Source organism: Homo sapiens, chromosome 16, assembly GCF_000001405.40.
Source record: "Homo sapiens chromosome 16, GRCh38.p14 Primary Assembly".
Classification (NCBI taxonomy): domain Eukaryota; kingdom Metazoa; phylum Chordata; class Mammalia; order Primates; family Hominidae; genus Homo; species Homo sapiens.
The window spans coordinates 11,941,521-11,961,508 of record NC_000016.10 but is presented as its reverse complement, the minus strand read 5'-3'; the positions used below and the strand labels follow the sequence as shown (position 1 = coordinate 11,961,508).

At 46.9% G+C, this 19,988-nt stretch overlaps 1 protein-coding gene across 10 annotated transcripts in view; it reads left to right on the top strand.

Moving 5' to 3' along the window:
- NPIPB2 (nuclear pore complex interacting protein family member B2) overlaps positions 1-19,988 on the top strand; it is a 49,381-nt gene that overhangs the window by 15,135 nt on the left and 14,258 nt on the right. For 6 of the 10 annotated variants that reach the window (XM_047434580.1, NM_001355514.1, NM_001395853.1 and 3 more), the window contains one exon: positions 5,272-5,365. Coding sequence is in view for 3 of the 10 variants with exons in the window: in XM_047434579.1 (XP_047290535.1) it covers positions 19,464-19,526 (63 nt within the window). In the remaining 7 variants the exon portion in view is untranslated. Of the gene's footprint in view, positions 1-5,271; positions 5,366-19,394; positions 19,672-19,988 lie in introns of those variants that run through there. The other 4 variants (XM_047434579.1, XM_047434581.1, NM_001396485.1 and 1 more) reach the window with 3 other exon arrangements.

The following is a 19,988-nucleotide window of genomic DNA, read 5'->3' as shown; positions in this document are numbered from 1 at the left end:
TGCGCCTGGCCTCTTTTTGTATTTTTAAAGTAGTCCATAATAAATGCTAAAATCATGAAAATAAAATGCAGAAATTTAAAAAAATACTTTTTTTTTTAAATGCAGGACTTGAGCCTAGGAAAGATTTTGAACTTAGATATTGATCAAAACGTCAAATTCCTCTGGGGTCCAGGTGGTGAGGTAAGTGGGAGAGGCTGCCTAGGCAGGACAGGGAGAAGCTGAAGCAGCTGGCCCAGGAGGCTCCACTCCCTCAGCCTCTGCCAGATTGCTGACCTTTGGAAGACAGGCAAAGGAGACAGGACAAACATGATTAGAGAAATAGGGAGAGAACAAAAATTATCTCCCAGGCTGGGTGCAGTGGCTCACACCTGTAATCCCAGCACTTTGGGAGGCTGAAGCAGGTGGATCACCTGAAGTCAGGAGTTTGAGGCCAATCTGGCCAACATGGTGAAACCCAGTCTCTACTAAAAATACAAAAATTAGCCAAGCGTGGTGGCGTGCATAATCCCAGCTACTTGGGAGGCTGAGGCAGGAGGATCGTTTGAACCTGGGAGGCAGAGGTTGCAGTGAGCCAAGATTGCGCCACTGCACTGCAGTCTGGGCTACGGAGTGAGACCGTGTCTCAAAAAAAAAAAAGAAAAGAAAGAAAAAAAAATCTCCCATAACAGTCAAGCAAGGAGAGATTTTAGCCTGAGTTAGGGAGTGGAGTCAAATTCTACAGGAAGATCAGGGGCGATGCACTAAAGAAGCAGGTCATTGATGGCCTTTGAGTGTGTCCCTGATGCAAGCCAGATGGTAGATATTTAAGGAGTGGTGAGGAAGAGGAGGCAGCCAATAGGAGCCATGCCTGAGGCCAGGCGCCATGGCTCATGCCTGTAATCCCAGCACTTTGGGAGGCTGAGGAGGGCGGATAACCTGAGGTCAGGAGTTTGAGACCAGCCTGGCCAACATGGTGAAACCCCGTCTCCACCAAAAATACAAAAAATTAGCCGGGCATGGTGGCGCACACCTGTAATCCTAGCTACGTGGGAGCCTGAGGCAGGGCAATTGCTTGAACCTGGGAGGCAGAGGTTGCAGTGAGCTGAGATCATGCCACTGCACACTCCAGCGTGGGCGACAGAGGGAGACTCTGTCTCAAAAAAAAAAAAAAAAAAAGGGAACCATACCTGGGAAGCCAGAAGCCAGGGGAAGAAAGCTTTGCTAACTCTTTGGAAAGAAAACACTATTGTGTCTGACAGATATACTTGCTCAGGTACTTAAAATCTCAGGTACAATGTAGTTTACTGTGACATCACATCTATTCATAAGAGCCTAGAGCAACAGAACTGTTCGTCACTGGGAGCCTCACAATGGAAGACTATGGCCATCAGAAAGAATGAGACAGATGTGGTCTCATATGAAAGATAAATCACTAAGTGAAAAACACAAAGTACAGACTGGGCACGGTGGCTCACACCTGTAATGCCAGCATTTTGGTAGGCTGAGGTAGAAGGATCACTTGAGCCCAGTAGTTCGAGACAGCCTGGGCAACACAGGGAAACCCTATCTCTACAAATAATTTAAAAATTAGCCAGGTGTGGTAGTGCGTGCTTGTGGTCCCAGCTGCTCAGGAGGCTGAGGCAGGAGGATCACCTGAACCTAGGAGGTTGAGGCTACAGTGAACCATGGTTGTGTGCTACTGCACTTCAGCCTGGGCAACAGAGCAAGACTGTCTCAAATAAAATAAAATTTAAAAAAATAAAATAGGTAGTGTCTGAATAGACAGACATAAACGGAGACTTTTTTTGCAAAGCTAGAAAGAAGACTGATGGACTGTCTCTGGCAATAGACAAAATCTAAAGAAAGAAAAAGACTCACTTTTCATTGAAAAATCTTTAGCAGTGTTTGAATATTTTTTTTTAATAATATGATTTTTTTTTTTGAGACGGGGTCTCCCTCTGTCACCCGGTTAGAGGTAGTTGGGTGATCACAGCTCACTGCAGCCTGGAATTCCTAGGCTCAAACAATCCTCCCGCCTCAGCCTCTCAGGTAGCTAGGACTACGATAGTACGCCACCATGCATAGCAATTTTTTTTCCTTTTTAATTTTTTGTAAGGGCAGGGTCTTGCTCTGCTGCCCAGACAAGTCTTGAATTCCTGGCCTCAAGCTATTCTCCCACTTCAGCCTCCCAAAGTGCTGGGATTACAGGTGTGAGCCACTGTGCCTGGCTAGGAGCATGATTTTGAAACAAAGATTTTTTTTTAAGTTTTATGAGACAGGTGCTGATGTAATCACATCACCAAAAGAGTGCTGTGTTTGCCCTTGCGTGACATAGAAGGAACAGTGAGGAATCCAGTACTCACACCAGCCTCAAGCTTCACTTGTCACTCACAGCTCTAAGGAAGCAAAGTGGTGCTGGAAACTCCCAAAGCCATTAAAGCTGCTTCTGCCACGGCCCGAGCCCCAGCACCAAATGCTTGGCTGCCCATTCACAGAGGCAAGAGCCATACAGGGGCAAACTAAACCCCTCTACGAGCTCCCCCTGCAGAGCCCCACTTTGGCAAACAGACATTCCTGACTTCTAGATCCACTGGTTGGTGACTCCTCTGGTCCCACTCCCAGATCTTCACCTCCCGAGATCCTGCAATAATTGTGCAAAGTCTCATTCCTTCCCTTATCCCGTAACACTCACCCATGGTAGCTCAGCTCCCCAAACCAACCCTGATTGTTACCACCTCTTTAACCTTAATATTTTCAACCTACAGGCTTTCTTATTTTACTTTGTTTTTGAGACAGGGTCTCACTCTGTTACCCAGGCAGGAGTGCAGTGGTGAGATCAAAGCTCACTGCAGCCTCAACCTCCCCGGCCCAAGTGATCATCCCACTTCAGTCCCCTGAGTAGCCGGGACTGCAGGCACATGCCATCTTGCCTGGCTAGGTTTTTTATTTAACTTTATTTTTTGCAAAGATGGGGGTCTTGCTGTGTTGCCCAGGCTGGTCTCAAACTCCTAGACTCAAGCCATCCACCCCACTTGGCCTCCCAAAGTGCTAGGATTATAGGCATGAGCCACCATGCCTGGCCTAGGATTTTTTTTTTTTTTTTTAACGGAGTCTCGCTCTGTCATCCAGGCTGGACTGTAGTGGCGTGATCTGGGCTCACTGCAACCTCCGCCTCCTGGGTTCAAGCACGTCTCCTGCCTCAGCCTTCCTGAGTAGCTGGGATTACAGGCACCCACCCACCACGCCCAGCTTAATTTTGTATTTTTAGTAGAGGTGAGGTTTTGCTATGTTGGCCAGGCTAGTCTTGAACTCCTGACCTCAGGTGATCTGCCCGCCACAGTCTCCCAAAGTGTTGGAATTACAGGAGTGAGCCACCGCACCCAGCCAGCATTTTCACTGTGTACTGGGCCCCACAAGTTAAGTAGTCAGTCCTGAGTGACTCAATAAAGACAATGTTAGAAAGTTCTCATCATAGGATTTGGATTTGTGTCAGGTTATTTGGGGAGAGTTTGCAAAAACACGGCTTAGCTGATGTTGGCAGGATGTGTGGGGGATTCTGTAATTGGGGAATATCTAAGTATCAGTAGAATTCTCCAGAGAAATAGAACCAAAAGGAGATACAGAGCTAGAGACAGAGATTTACTTTAAGGAATTGCTTCATGCAATTGTAGGAGCTGGCAAGTCCAAACTCCGCAGGGCAGGCCAGCAGACTGAAAATCCACGTAAGAGTGGATGTTGCAGTACTGAGTTTGAAATCCACAGGGCAAGCCAGGCAGGCCAGACACTCAGAGAGGGTGTCTGTGTTTCAGTCTTGAGGCTGAATTCCTTCTTTTTCAGGAAATCTTGGTCTTTGCTTTTTAGGCCTTCAACTGATTGGATGAAGCCCACGCACATTATGAAGGGCAGTGTCCTTTATTCAAAGTCTACTGATTTAAGGGCCAGGCACGGTGGCTCAGGTCTGTAATCCCAGCACTTTGGGAGGCTGAGGCGGGCAGACCATTTGAGGTTAGGAGTTCAAGACCAGCCTGGCCAACATGGTGAAACCCCGTCTGTACAAAAAATACAAAAGTTGGTAGGGCACGGTGGTTCACAAGGTCCCAGCACTTTGGGAGGCCGAGGCAGGTGGGTCACGAGGTCAGGAGATGGAGACCATCCTGGCTAACGTGGTGAAACCCTGTCTCTACTAAAAGTATAAAACTTAGCCGGGCGTGGTGTCACACGCCTGTAGTCCCAGCTACTCGGGAGGCTGAGGCAGGAGAATCGCTTGAACCCAAGAGGCGGAGGTTGCAGTGAACCGAGATCACACCACTGCACTCCAGCCTGGGCGACAGAGTGAGACTCCATCTCAAAAAAAAAAAAAAAAAGAAAAAGTTAGACAGGTGTGGTGGCACATACCTGTAATCCCAGCCACTTGGAGGCTGAGGCAGGAGAATCGCTTGAACCCCAAGCAGTGGAGACTACAGTAAGCTGAGATCGCACCAATGCACTCCAGCCTCGGTGACAGAGTGAGACTCCATCTCAAAAGAAGAAGAAGAATTAATTAATTAATTAAAAATAAAAATAATAGCCATCTTGGCAACAATTGGTGCTGCCTAAATGAGGAGGCAGGGCCAGCTGTGGAGCCCTCCTGGGGGCCTGGTCAGCAGGGTACCTGTCCTCCACCCCCTAGTGCCTGGTACCCCTGGGGTGAAGCCAACTGAGCATGGAGAGTGAGAGCCTGCCAAGAGCAAAAGAGGTTTTCAGGAGGGGACCTCAAGAAGCCTGGTTCCAATGCCAGCATGAGCATCTGGTTCTCAGTCAGTGTTCCTCCTGGGCATTCTGCAGGAGATCATTTCTTTTCTTTTCTTTTCTTTTGAGACAGAGTCTCACTGTGTTCCCCAGGCTGGAGTGCAGTGGTGCGATCTCAGCTCACTGCAACCTCCACCTCCTGAGTTCAAGCGATTCTCCTGCCTCAGCCTCCTAAGTAGCTAGGACTACAGGTGCCTGCCACCACGCCCAGCTAATTTTTGTATTTTTAATAGAGATGGGGTTTCACCATGTTGGTCAGGCTGGTCTCAAACTCCTGACCTCAGGTGATCTGCCCGCCTCAGCCTCCCAAAGCGCTGAAATTACAGGCGTGAGCCACTGCTCCCGGCAAGAGATCATTTCTCATCCAGATGGCTACTGAGAGCGGGACTCCAGAGAGTGTTCATTTTTTAGTGCAATGTGGGAACCAGGCCTTTAACCCACCCTGTGGGCTTTCCACTAAGAGCCCACAGAGCCAGGTTCAAGGCTTGGTTCTCCCACTTACAGGGCTTGAGCAATTCAGTTTCCCTGCCTGAGTGTTGGTGACCTGTGCTGTGAAATAGAGAGAGACACCTACGACCTGCTGTCAGAGCCCATCAAGGTAAGATCACAAGAGGGAGGTGCCCATCAACATGGGTCTTGTTCATGGAAGAGGCGCAGAGGAAAGATTCATGCATGATTAATGACTGGCGGCAATTTCCTGCCTGCCTTTGGAATGAATCAAAAATAAGTGAAAACGTGTGGCTGAGGCAAAACATTTGGGTCTTCGGGAACTCTGCAGTGGACCAGAGGAGGCCTGGGGCTGGCTGAGTCATCTAAGTGGGTGACCGGTTTTTTCCTGTTTGCAAAACGAGAGTCAAGTTCCAGAGGGGATACGTGGAGTGGGATTAAACGTTTCTCTCCAAGCATCCTCCCAGTGGAAGGCTTCCCAAGAAGCATCATTGGGTAACTTTCCATTGCCACTATCTGCAAGAGGTGGGAGGAGGAGTGGCAAATTTCTTTTTTCTTTTCTTTTTTTTTTTTTGAGACAGTGTCTTGCTCTGTCACCCAGGTTGGAGTCCAGTGGTACGATCTCAGCTCACTGCAACCTCTGCCTCTCAGGTTCAAGCAATTCTCCTGCCTCAGCCACCCAAGTAGCTAGCTGGGAATAAAGGGGCGTGCCACCATGCCTGGCTATTTTTAGGTTTTTTTGTATTTTTAGTAGAGACAGGGTTTCACCATGTTGGCCAGGGTGGTTTCGATCTTCTGACCTTATGATCCACCTGCCTCAGCCTCCCAAAGTGCTGGGATTACAGGCGTGAGCCACCACGCCTGGCCAGAATGGCAAATTTCTTATCCAAAGATAGTCTCTCTCTAAATCCCGAAACCTTTTTTTTTTTTTTTTTTTTTTTGACACAGAGTTTCACTCGGTCACCTAGGCTAGAGTACAGTGGTACCATCTTGGTTCACTGCAAACCCCGCCTCCCAGGTTCAAGTGATTCTCATGCCTCACCCTCCAGAGTAGCTGGGATTATAGGCATGTGCCACGACGGCCAGCTAATTTTTGTATTTTTAGTAGAGATGGGGTTTCACCACGTTGGCCAGGCTGGTCTCGGACTCCTGGCCTCAATCCACCATGCTGGGATTATAGGTGTGAGCCACCGCGCCCAGCCTAAATTCTGAAATCTTTATAGATGAAATGGATTACTTCAAAATAATACAGGAGAGGCAGATGTAGGTACGTGTATAGATTATACCAGGTCAGCCTGATTTGATGGGTGATGGATATGTGAGGGATTTATTTTTAATCAATAAAAGTTTGTTGTTTTTAAATAGCAAAAAGTATTTTTTTTTTTTTGAGACAGAGTCTTGCTCTGTTGCCCAGGCTGGAGTGCAGTGGTGTGATCTCAGCTCACTGCAAGCTCTGCCTCCCGGGTTCACACCATTCTCCTGCCTCAGCCTCCCGAGTAGCTGGGACTACAGGCTCCTGCCACCACACCTGGCTAATTTTTTTGTATTTTTAGTAGAGATAGGGTTTCACCGTGTTAGCCAGGATGGTCTTGATCTCCTGACCTCGTGATCCTACCGCCTCGGCCTCCCAAAGTGCTGGGATTAGAGGCGTGAGCCACCACAGCCAGCCTAGCAAAAAGTTATTTTAAATATAATATCCAATACTCAATATGTATCGAGTCTTTTTTCTTCTTAAAAAAAATTTTATTTCTCAATTATACATAAAAGCGTCTTTTTAAAGTTAACATTCTTTTTTTTCTTTCTTTTTTTTTTTTTTAAAGACAGAGTCTTACTCTGTCACCCAGGCTGGAGTGCAGTGGTGCAATCATAACTCACTGTAACCTTAAACTCCTGGGTTCAAGTGATTCTTCTGCCTCAGCCTCCCCAGTAGCTGGGATTATAGGCTTGCAACCACGACCGGCTAATTTTTTTTCAGAGATGGGGTCTCGCTACATTGCCCAGGCTGGTCTCAAACTTCTGGTCTCAAGTGATCCTCCCACCTCACTCTCCCAAACTGTTGGGATTACAGGCATTAGCCACCATGCCTGGCCTAAAATTAATATTTTTTAACCAAGCAATTCCACGTTTAGGAATTTTGCATGAAAGAGATACAAAGCAGATTACTAGAAAGAGCTGGGTTTTTAACTGCAAAAAAAAATTGGAAATAACCAAAATGCCTATTAATAAAAGACTGCTTAACATTTATACTATAATTTTAAAATTATAGTATGCCTATTCAATAGAATGCTAGGCACTGTTTACCAAAAAAAGATGATATGAGGCTGGGCGTGGTGGCTCATGCCTGTAATCCCAGGACTTTGGGAGGCCAAGGCGGGCAAATCACTTGAGGTCAGGAGTTGGAGACTAGCCTGGCCAACGTGGTGAAATCCCGTCTCTACTAAAAATACAAAAATTAGCCAGGCATGTTAGTGTGCGCCTGTAATCCCAGCTACTCAGGAGGTTGAGGCAGGAGAATCGTGCCACTGCATTCCAGCCCAGACCACAGAGAAAGGCTCCGTCTCAAAAAAAAAAAAAAAAAAAAATTAAAGTAAATAAAAGGATGATCTGAAAGCAAAAAATAAACTAAGAAAAATAGTTGTATCTCAGGCCAGGCACAGTGGCTCATGCCTGTAATCCTGGCACTTTGAGAAGCCAAGGTGGGTGAATCACGAGGTCAGGAGATTGAGACCATCCTGGCTAACATGGGGAAACTCCGTCTCTATTAAAAATACAAAAAGTTAACCAGGCATGGTGGCATGCACCTGTAGTCTCAGCTACTCGAGAGGCTGAGGCAGGAGAATCGCTTGAACCTGGGAACCTGGGAGGCGGAGGTTGCAGTGAGCCAAGATTGCTCCACTGCACTCCACCCTGAGCAACAGAGCAAGACTCCGTCTCAAGAAAACAAAAACAAAACCAAAAACAAACAAACAAAAAACCCAAAAATTAGCCGGGCGTGGTGGCAGGTGCCTGTAATCCCAGCTACTTGTGAGGCTGAGGCAGGAGAATCACTTGAACCCAGGAAGCGGAGGTTGCAGTGAGCCAACATTGCGCCACTGCACTCCAGGCTGAGCAACAAAGTGAGACTCCACCTTGAAAAAAAATACAGAATGAATTAGGGTTTTCAATGCAGCACTGAAGTCCTCCAAGTCCGTCAAATGGTTAAATAAATTTGATGGAATGAATTCAGCAGAGACCTGAACAGGGACCAGAAGCGACCATGAGAACATGAGCACTCTAGTGCTCTTGACCTTGAGAATCCACAGGGAATACACTTGGGGTTCAAGTCAGTCTTTTTAGAATCCAAGGGGCAGAGAGATCCCAAATAGCATCTGGGCACATGTAAACATTGAAGTAGATTTTTATGTTCTAACAAAGAAAGATGGCGATAAGGGCCAGGCACGGTGGCTGACACCTGTAATCCCAGCACTTTGGGAGGCCGAGGCGGGTGGATTACCTGAGGTCAGGCATTCGAGACCAGCCTGGCCAACATTGCAAAACCCTATCTCTACTAAAAAATGCAAAAATTAGCCAGGCATGGTGGCACGTGCCTGTAGTCCCAACTACTCAGGAGGCTGAGGAAGGAGAATCGCTTGAATCCTGGAGGCAGAGGTTGCAGTGAGCCGAGATTGTGCCACTGCACTTCAGCCTGGGTGACAGAGCAAGACTCTGTCTCAAAAAAAAAAAAAAAAAGAGAAAGAAAGATGGCCGTAGTACACTACTAAGTTTCGGGTGTAGGGGTTAGTCATCGAATATTGTTAAGGTGGGTCCTATTTCCATTTGAAATGTAAATATCATGTACATGACAACAGATTCTTTCATATAGATTCAAGATCAAAACGGCATACCTGCTAAGATAGACTGTTGACTCCAGGGGTTTCTTTTTTTATTTATTTTTATTTTTTATTTTTGAGACGGAGTCTTGCTCTATCATCCAGGCTGGAGTGCAGTGGCGCGATCTCTGCTCACTTCAAGCTCCACCTCCCCGGTTCACACCATTCTCCTGCCTTAGCCTCCCGAGTAGCTGGGACTACAGACGCCCGCCACCACACCCAGCTAATTTTTTTCTTTGTTTTTTTTTTTGTTTTGTTTTTGTTTTTTTTTTTGAGGCAGAGTCTCACTCTGTCGCCCAGGCTGGAGTGCAATGGCTTGGCTCACTGCAAGCGCCGCCTCCTGGGTTCACGCCATTCTCCTGCCTCAGCCTCCCAAGTAGCTGGGACTACAGGCGCCCGCCACTACGCCCGGCTAATTTTTCGTATTTTTAGTAGAGTCGGGGTTTCACCGTGTTAATCAGAATGGTCTCGATCTCCTGACCTTGTGGTCCGCCCGCCTCGGCCTCCCAAAGTGCTGGGATTACAGGCGTGAGCCACCGCGCCCAGCCTCTTTGTATTTTTTAGTAGAGACGGGGTTTCAACCTGTTAGCCAGGATGGTCTTGATCTCCTGACCTCATCATCCGCCCGCCTCGGCCTCCCAAAGTGCTGGGATTACAGGCGTGAGCCACCGCACCTGGCCTACTCCAGGGGTTTCTATCAATACCATAAAAAACCTTTTCCCTTTGACATACTCTGAATTTTGTTGTTTGGGGGCTGGGTGTGTGTGTGTGTGTGTGTGTGTGTGTGTGTGTGTGTGTGTATGTGTATGTGCAGTGTCCATCTGTATCAGTGCCAGTGCCTGCTACATTCCTGGTTCTGTATTGAGGAGAAGGATGTATAAAGAACCATGAAATATTAGCCCTCACTTTGTTTTGAATTCTGAGTAATGTTAATTTTTCTTTTCTTTCTTTTTTTTTTTTTTTTTGAGACAGTCTTGTCTGTCGCCCAGGCTGGAGTGCAGTGGCATGATCTCGGCTCACTGCAAGCTCCGCTTCCCAGGTTCACGCCATTCTCCTGCCTCAGCCTCCCGAGTAGCTGGGACTACAGGTGCCCGCCACTATGCCCGGCTAATTTTTTTTTTTATATATTTTTTAGTAGAGACGGGGTTTCACCGTGTTAGCCAGGATGGTCTCGATCTCCTGACCTTGTGATCCACCCGCCTCGGCCTCTCAAAGTGCTGGGATTACAGGCATGAGCCACTGCGCCCGGCCGAGTAATGTTAATTTTTCTCGAAACTGAATTTTCTTAAAAGAATTTTTTTTCTTTTAGATTTAATGAGGTATTGCTAACTGAAGCCAGTTTGACATAGTGAGAGAGATGTCAAATTGATTTGAAAGGTGTGCAGCCTGATTTAAAACTAAACCCTGAATCCTTTTAAAGAACAATAAAACATATTTTACATGCAAAAAAATCATGTATATATGTTAGTATATGCATAGGAAAAACTAGAAAGAAGAGTGTTAGCCAAGCCATCCAATGTCTTACTTCTCTGTATGTTCTCAGCACCTTCTCAGTTAGATGCTGAGAACATACAGAGAAATAAGAAGTTTTAATGTAAATTCCACGAAGAAAGAGAACTTTTGTTTTGTTCTCTGTTATGTTCCCAGTGTCTGACACATGATATCTACTTGGTAAATATTTATGGGCTGGAAGGGAGAAGGAAGGAAGGGAGGATGAGAGGAGGGAGGGAGCGGTAGAAAAGAGTCCTGGCCCCCAAGTTGTTCACTGTTATTCACAGCCAGGCTTGGAAACAGATGTGTGGGCAGAGTGCAAAGAACATTGGGAGAAAAGGGCTCTGAGTTGGTAGGGACTTTGCATAAACTCTCTCTCGTCCTTATGTTAGCGTCCTCCTTTCCTCAGAAGAGAAGTCATTTGCAAAGTCATCAGGCATGAAGCCCATCTTCAAATTCAAGGCTTAGCGGGCATGGTGGTTCAGGCCTATAACCTCAGCATTTTGGGGGGCTGCAGCAAGAGGATTGCTTGAGCCCATGAGTTCGAGACCAGTCTGGGCAACATAATAAGACCCTATCTCTTAGAAAAAAATTAATTAGGCTAGGCGTGGTGGCTCATGCCTGTAATCCCAGCACCTTGGGAGGCTGAGGTGGGCAGATCACCTGAGGTCAGGAGTTCAAGACAAGCCCAGCCAACAGGACGAAACCCCATCACTACTACTAAAAATATAAAAATTAGCCAGGGGTGGTGGCAGGTGTCTGTAATCCCACCTACTCAGTAGGCTGAGGCAGGAGAATCCCTTGAACCCGGGAGGTGGCTACAATGAGCCAAGATCATGCCACTGCACTGCAGCCTGGGTGACAGAGCGAGACTCCATCTCGGAAAAAATAAAACATAAAAAATAATAATTAAAAAACAAATTCAAGGCTTATGTGGTTGCAGAGAACACTCTTCTTTGAGGACAAATGAGAACCAGATATTCCTGTTAAGTCGGGGGCACAAGTGTTGGCAATGAATATACTGTATCTCCAAAGCAGATAGATCTTAGACAACCAGAATCTCTGGGGAAAGGCCGCATTCATCAACCTCTGGGGGAAACTGGCTTCAAGTGACTCAAAGGTGACACCCAATGTCGCTCTGGGTAACTACACAGAAATCCTAAACGGTGTTAAAGAAGAGGGAGCAAGGCTGCCCTTTACTTCCAATGCTGTCCAGCCAGCTCCATAAGGCTCTGAGAGGCTGGCTCAGGTGAGCCAGGGCTCAAGTGAGGAGACTGGCCAGGGCTTGGCTAAAAGAGCCTGTCACTCAAAAGTAAGCCCAAAGCAAGATAAGCTGCATTCTCAGGGCTGCTGTATATTTTCTCAGCCTGAATAAGCTGCTGCTGATTTAGTTATCCGGGTTCTTCTCGGATTCCTGTGGCTGCATTTGAATAGCAGAAATCCTGGCAAGAGGAGATGAAGATCTGGGCTAAAAACTTCACTGAGGCTAACATCTCAGGAGGACCCTGGTGTCACATGAGCCTGGGTGGGAATCTGCTTTGCCTCCTACCAGCTATGTAGCGCTGGTCACACAACTTCACCTTGCTAAGCCTCAGTTTCTTGCTTTTTAAATGGAGATGATGATACCTATTTTGCAAGGTTGCTGAGTTGATTGCATGAGATCACCGACGTGCACAGTAATAAAATAGAAAAGGCTTCGCAAGTATTGCTGTCATTACTACTGTGGCTGACATTTACTAAGCCCTTACCAAAGCCTTTCTCTCTCTTTTTCTTTTTTTGAGACAGGGTCTAGCTCTGTTGCCCAGGCTGGAGTAGAGTGGCCCGATCACAGCATCATGGCTCACAGCAGCCTCAACCTCCTGGGCTCAAGCAATCCTCCCATCTCAGCCGCCTCCCTTACAAGAAGCTGGGATTACAGGCATGCGGCAGGCACCACACCCAGCTAATTTTCAAATTTTTTGTAGAGACAGTGTCTTGCTATGTTGCCCAGGCTGGTCTCCAAGTCCTGGCCTCAAGCAATCCACCCACTTCAGCCTCCCGAAGTGCTAGGATTACCGACATGAGCCACCACACCCAACAAATCACTGCCTTTTTCAATGCTCACAGCAAACCTCTGAAGTAGCTAATATTTCTTTTCTTTCTTTTTTTTTTTTTTTTTTTTTTTTTTTGAGACGGAGTCTCGCTCTGTCACCCAGGCTGGAGTGCAGTGGCGGGATCTCGGCTCACTGCAAGCTCTGCCTCCCGGGTTCACGCCATTCTCCTGCCTCAGCCTCCCAAGTAGCTGGGACTACAGGCGCCCGCCACTACGCCCGGCTAATTTTTTTGTATTTTTAGTAGAGACGGGGTTTCACCGTTTTAGCCGGGATGGTCTCGATCTCCTGACCTCGTGATCCATCCGCCTCGGGCTCCCAAAGTGCTGGGATTACAGGTGTGAGCCACTGCGCCCAGTAAGTTTCCATTTTACACACTCCACAGTCTGTATTTCCTATGAATTGGTACTTGGATCTACAGACTTGTTTGTATTTATGTTCAGTCTTTTTGCCAAAAAATATTTCAAAAATGGTGTTGAGCGTGCTTTCCTCACAGACGCACAATGACCAATTGTCTCTTTGTGGTATCGGCAGCCATTGGTGCTTGATGACAGGATCCACAGTTCATTAGGAGTGCTTCTTTATTTCTGTTTGGTGAGGTGACCAGGTCACCAACCCTTCCCAGTTCACCTGGAACTTCCCCCGTTTTGGCACCTTCAGTCCCATGGCCCAGGAAACCACTCAGTCCCAGGACAGCTGGTCACCCTGCAGGAAAGCCATGTTTTAGGCAGTGACTCTTCCCACCCCCACTCTGCCTCCCTTTGCCATAGTGGGCAGAGAAGTAGGAGACAGGATGTGGATAACGGGCTGGAGAATGCAGGGGGAGGGGTCTGTATCTAGTGGCCAGTCTTGGGTGTAATTGACACCTTAGTAGTTGTCCACCTAGTATCCGCTTTCACCTTCTTGCAATCCCCTGATTTTTTGATTAGGTAATGGTCCCTACCCACAGCCCACATGCTTCACGGGCACTGATGCTAGCCCCAGCTTCCATGACCAGCTGCTCCCTTCCAGAACCCAGGACGAAGCCGGTCAGTGCAAGCCAGTCCCCATGCCACACCTTGGGCCAATAAATCACAAGGGGTAATTTGTCAGAGGCATTTGGGAAAACATTTCCTTATTCTTTTTTTAAAAAATTATATTTACTTTTATTTTTTTCATCTAGAATTTCTGATGAAGATCACTCTTTAAAATATGTATATGTGGCCAGGAGCGGTGGCTCACGCCTGTAATCCCAGCATTTTGGGAGGCCGAGGTGGGCAGATCACGAGGTCAGGAGATTGAGACCCTCCTGGCTAATACGGTGAAACCCCGTCTCTACTAAAAGTACAAAAAATTAGCGGGGCGTGGCATCGTGCGCCTGTAGTCCTAGCTACTCGGGAGGCTGAGGCAGGAGAATGGCGTGAACCTGGGAGGTGGAGCTTGCAGTGAGCCGAGATCGCGCCACTGCACTCCAGCCTGGGCGACAGAGCGAGACTCCATCTCTCAAAAATAAATAATAAATAAATAAATATATATATATATAAATAAATAAATAAATAAATAAATAAAATATGTGTATGTACCTATGTACACACACACACACACCATTCAACCATTGGCTGGGCATGGTGGCTCACACCTTCCAGCAGTTTGGGAGGCTGAGGCAGGAGGATATCCTGAGCCCAGGAGTTTGAGACCTGCCTGAGCATCATAGTGAGACTCCATCAGAACAAAAAAAATTGTTTAATTAAAATATATATAATTGAATTTTATTTTATATATTATATATATGTTTATATATATACCATATATATATATATATATAATTCAAATAGTTGAATTTAGGCTGGTCAAGGTGGGTCACACCTGTAATCCCAGCACTTTGGGAGATTGAGGCAGGTGGATCACACCTCAGGTCAGGAGTTCGAGATCAGCCTGGCCAACATGATGAAACCCCATCTCTACTAAAAATACAAAAATTAGCCGGGTGTGGTGGCGGGCGCCTGTAATCTCAGCTACTCAGGAGGCGAGTTTATGTTACTTTGTGTAAACATATGCTTTCATTCCTCTCAGTCAGAGATACCTACGAATAAGATTGCTGGATCAATTTATCTTTACATTTTTATTAAACTTTCCAACTGCTTTCCAAAGTGGCAGGCCCCATTTTACTTTCCTACCGGCAATGTGGGAGAGTTTCTGTTTCTCCATAGCCTCACCACTTATTATTCTCTTTTTGAGTATTAGTCATCCTAGTGGATATGAAGTAGTATCTCATTATGCATTGCTTTTCTTAAAGATATGGTCTCACTCCGTTGCCCAGGCTGGAGTACAGTGGCACAATCATAGCTCACAGTAGCCTCAAACTTCTGGGCTAAAACTATCCCCCCACCTCAGCCTCAGCCTCCTTAGTGGCTAGGACTAAAGGCACACACCACTGCGCCTGGCTAATTTTTTACCTTTTTTTTTTTTTTTTTTTTTTTGAGATAGAGTTTAGCTTTTATTGCCCAGGCTGGAGTGCAACGGTACGATCTCGGCTCACCACAACCTCCACCTCCCGGGTTCAAGCAATTCTCCTGCCTCAGCCTCCCAAGTAGCTGGGATTATAGGCATGTGCCACCATGCCTGGCTAATTTTGCATTTTTAGTAGAGACAGGGTTTCTACATGTTGGTCAGGCTGGTCTTGAACTCCTGACCTCAGGCGATCTGCCCGCTCTGGCCTCCCAAAGTGCTGGGATTACAGGTATAAGCCACCATGCCCAGCTCTCTGGGTTCTTTCCTTCCTTCCTTCCTTTCTTTCTTTCTTCTTTCATTCTTTCTTTTTTTCTTTTCTTTTTTTTTTTTTTGTAGAAGCCACAGGAAGAAACAAATCATGAGGGGATGGTTTGACAAGCTACAAACACTGGAGTCATAATATACCTGTATTTAACTTGGTAAATCCAACTATGCATGTTTGAATGTGAGAGAGACAGAGAAAGAAAGAGACAGAAATGAGACAGACAGAAAGAATAATGCTTTAAATAATGCAGGGGTTTCTGCCTTCCACTCTGTAAGAACATAGAACCCATGGGCTGAATAGAAGGAGGAGAGGGCACAGCTGTCCTTCCCTCAGCCTGTCTTAATCCAGGGCCTTCACATTCCCTATGCTCAGCATGACTCCAGCATTTTGTTTTTGTTTTTGTTTTTTTTTTAAGACAGAGTCTCACTCTGTCACCCAGGCTGGATTGCACTGGCACGATTTCAGCTCAGTGAAGCATCCACCTCCCGGGTTCAAGCGTTTCTCCTGCTTCAGCCTCCTGAGTAGCTAGGACTACAGGGACGTACCACCACACCTGGCTAATTTTTTTTGTATTTTTAGTAGAGATGGGGGTTTTACCTTCGTGGTCAGCCTGGTCTCAAATTCCTGGCCTCAAGTGATCCACCCACCCCAGCCTCCCAAAGTGCTGAGATTACAGGTGTGAGTTACTGCACCCTGCTTATTTATTTTTGAAACACGGTCTCACTATGTTGCCCAGGCTGGACTGCAGTGGTGCCATCAGAGCTCACTGCAGCCTCGAACTCCTGGCCTCAAGGGATGTCCCTGCCTCAGCCTTCCAAGTAGCTGGGACTATAAGCACACACTATCTCATTGGCTATTATATCTTTTTATATATTTATTTATTTGTTAGTTTGTTTATTTTTTCAGACAGAGTTTTGCTTTTATTGCCCAGGCTGGAGTGCAATGGCGTGATCTCGGCCACCGCAACCTCTGCCTCCCGGGTTCAAGCGATTCTTCTGCCTCAGCCTCCTGAGTAGCTGGGATTACAGGCATGCTCCACCATGCCTGGCTAATTTTTTTTTTTTTTTATTTTTAGTAGAGATGGGGTTTCTCCATGTTGGTCAGGCTGGCCTTGAACTCCCGACCTCAGGTGATCCACCCACCTCAACCTTCCAAAGTGCTGGGATTACAGGCATGAGCCACCGTGCCCGGCTGGCTATTATATCTTTAACACATCTCCAAGGTTTCCTCATCTCCATTTTGAACAGAGAGGGCTTCAGCAGGTAACAGCATCTGGCCTAAATGTATTTTATTTCTTTTGTATATGTTTTGTTTTGTTTTCTGTTCCAGTTTTTTTTTTTTTTTTTTTTTTTTTTTGACACGGAGTCTGTGTCATCTCTGCTTACTGCAAACTCCATCTCCCAGGTTCAAGCGATTCTCCTGCCTCAGCCTTCCAAGTAGCTGGGATTACAGGTGCGCACCACCACGCCCAGCTAATTTTTGTATTTTTAGTAGAGACAGGGTTTTGCCATGTTGGTCAGGCTGGTCTTAAACTCCTGACCTCAGGTGATCCACCCGCCTCGGCCTCCCAAAGTGCTGGGATTACAGGCGTGAGCTACCGCACTCTGCCTATAAAAAATTTAAGGCCAGGTGTGGTGGCTCATGACTGTAATCCCGGGACTTTGGGAGGCTGAGGTGGGCAGATCACACGAGGTCAGGAGTTTGAGACCAGCCTGGCAACATCGTGAAACCCCCGTCTCTACTAAAACTACAAAAATTAGCTGGGTGTGGTGGCACGCGCCTATAGTCCCAGCTACTTGGGACTTAAAGCAGGAGAATCTCTTACCTGGGAGGTGGAGGTTTCAGTGAGCCGAGACCGCAATAGTGCATTCCAACCTGGGCGACAGAGCAAGACTCCATCTCCAAAAAAAAAAAAAAAATCCAGTTTATCATCTGTATCACAGGCAGTACTGGTGTTCTGCTGTTTTCTGGTAAAATCTTCACCTCATGTTTTAAAATTTGTGGTAATGTACCGAGTATCACAGCCAATTTGTTAATCTTCCTCTCTTATAAATTATACTATTAGTTTTGCCTCTTTTTTTTTTTTTTTTTTGAGACAGAGTCTTGCTCTGTCACCCAGGCTGGAGTGCAGTGGCGCGATCTCGGCTCACTGCCAGCTCCACCTCCCAGGTTCACGCCATTCTCCTGCCTCGGCCTCCCAAATAGCTGGGATTACAGGCGCCCGCCACCACGGCCAGCTAATTTTTTGTATTTTTAGTAGAGACGGGGTTTCACCATGTTAGCCAGGATGGTCTCGATCTCCTGACCTTGTGATCCACCCGTCTCGGCCTCCCAAAGTGCTGGGATTACAGGCATGAGCCACCGTGCCTGGCTTTTTTTTTTATTTTAAGACGGAGTTTTGCTCTTGTTGCCCAGGCTGGAGTACAATGGCGCGATCTCAGCTCACTGCACCCTCTGCCTCCCAGGTTCAAGGGATTGTCCTGCCTCAGCCTTCTGAGTAGCTGGGATTACAGGCGTGTGCCACCATGCCTGGCTAATTTTTGTATTTTTAGTAGAGACGGGGTTTCACCATGTTGGTCAGTCTGGTCTCGAACTCCTAACCTCGTGATCCGCCTGCCTCAGCCTCCCAAAGTGCTGGGATTACAGGCGTGAGCCACCATGCCCAGCCAAATCTAGGGCTGGAACATGGCTGCAGCATACAAATAGAATTGAATTCCATAGTTTTGTTAACCCTGTTTTTTGTTTGTTTGTTTGTAGTTGTTGCTGTTTTTGAGACAGAGTCTCGCTCTGTCGCCTAGGCTGGAGTGCAGTGGTGCAATCTCGGCTCACTGCAAACTCTGCCTCCCGGGTTCAAACTATTCTCCTGCCTCAGCCTCCCAAGTAGGTGGGACTACAGGCGCCCACCACCACACCCAGCTAATTTTTGTATTTTATTAGAGACAGGGTTTCACCATATTGGCCAGGCTGGTCTGGAACTCCTGACCTTGTGATCCGCCCACCTCGGCCTCCCAAAGTGCTGGGATTACAGGCGTGAGCCATCACACCCAGCCCCTGTTTTGTTTTTGTTTTGCTTGTTTCTTAGGGTTGTTTTTCTATTTATGGTAAAGGCATTGGCTTTCCATTTGTAGCATCAATAGAATATTTCCTGTTTACAATAACCTTATGTCATAGTAAATGGTAAAGGGATTTAAAGCAGTGGTTTTCAGCTGCCAGAGGCCTGAGTGAGTTTGGGCACACTCTGTGTGATCGGGCAGAAGGCCTGTGGGAAGTTTAGCTGAGGACAGGGCCAGGAAAGGTGATGGACAGTGGGGGTCTGTCCTGGTCACCAGGCCCCTGGGTCCTGCCCACCTGCTTGGAGCTCCCCACCCATCACACATGATGCTGCCAAGCCCTCTGGGTATTGTGGGCAAATACCTTAGGAGAGAAGCTGATGAACTTTGTTTCTTGAAATGCACAGATTCCTTGGACGTCCCTGAGAGGCCATTCATGAAGGTCAACTTGGTTTTCTCCCCCTCATTTGGGTTCAGAATTTAAAGTCCACACACACGGGCAGTAAGATGATATAGATAAGGACATCATCACTCGGTTTCGGATGTTAAAATGTCTAGGTGGGTTAGGGGTGATTTGAGATCATGCAACCTTGTGCCACAAAGAGGAATTCCCAGGCCAGAGGGAGACATTTTATTGCCATGTTATGATCTCATCATTGAGTTGAAAGGCAATCTTGTTTCATTTTGGATTCTTTCTTATGTTTATGTCTTATAAGGGCACTTTGAATTTCCAAGCAAATAATAATTTTGAATTAGCTTTTAATCATTGACTTCTAGCACAGTTATATGATCAGAAACATGCTGTGTGATTTGATTGCTCTCAAATATATTGAGATTTGCTGGAACAAAATAAGTCAGGTTAATTTTTGTAAATGTACCATGCATGCTTAAAATGAATGTACGTACATTTGTTCCTGAGATACAGGTTGATGGACAGATGGCTACATGGATGTGATGGAGATGGTTTACTATCGGGACCTTCCGCATCCTGCTGATGTTTTGTTGCTTAGGATATGAATGGCTGAGCGGAGGCTGTAAAACCTGGCACTCTGCTTGGGTATGAGGTTCTTCCTGCCATCCTGCCATCATTTGTTTTTTATGTTTTGTCGCCAAAAGTGACCTTGAGGAACCCTGGGAGCTCAGGAAGGAAGGAGCGCCCAGAAGCAGGGACAGGGAGCTGGTTGGGGAGGACCAGAAATCAGGTTTGTGAAGGTTCCAGAGAGGACCTGTCCTTGGGAGGAGAGTGGGAGACTGAGATGGGGGAGGGGTCATTGGAATGATGCGGGCGCTACTTGGCATGTCCATTGTGAGGCACGTCCATTGTGAGGCACCACCGGGGTCATCAGGGATTGGTGGAGAGGGAGTATAAAGCCCCAGGGTTGGTAAGGGAGGGCCCAGACCGAAGAAGGTTTGGTGGATAGCAGAACCTTTGTCTCCCTCTAATTGCCCCTAAGCCTCACGCTCCCTTGCCCCGCGTGTCCTGTTGCTTCCCTGATCTTCTCCGTGACCTGTAGCTAAA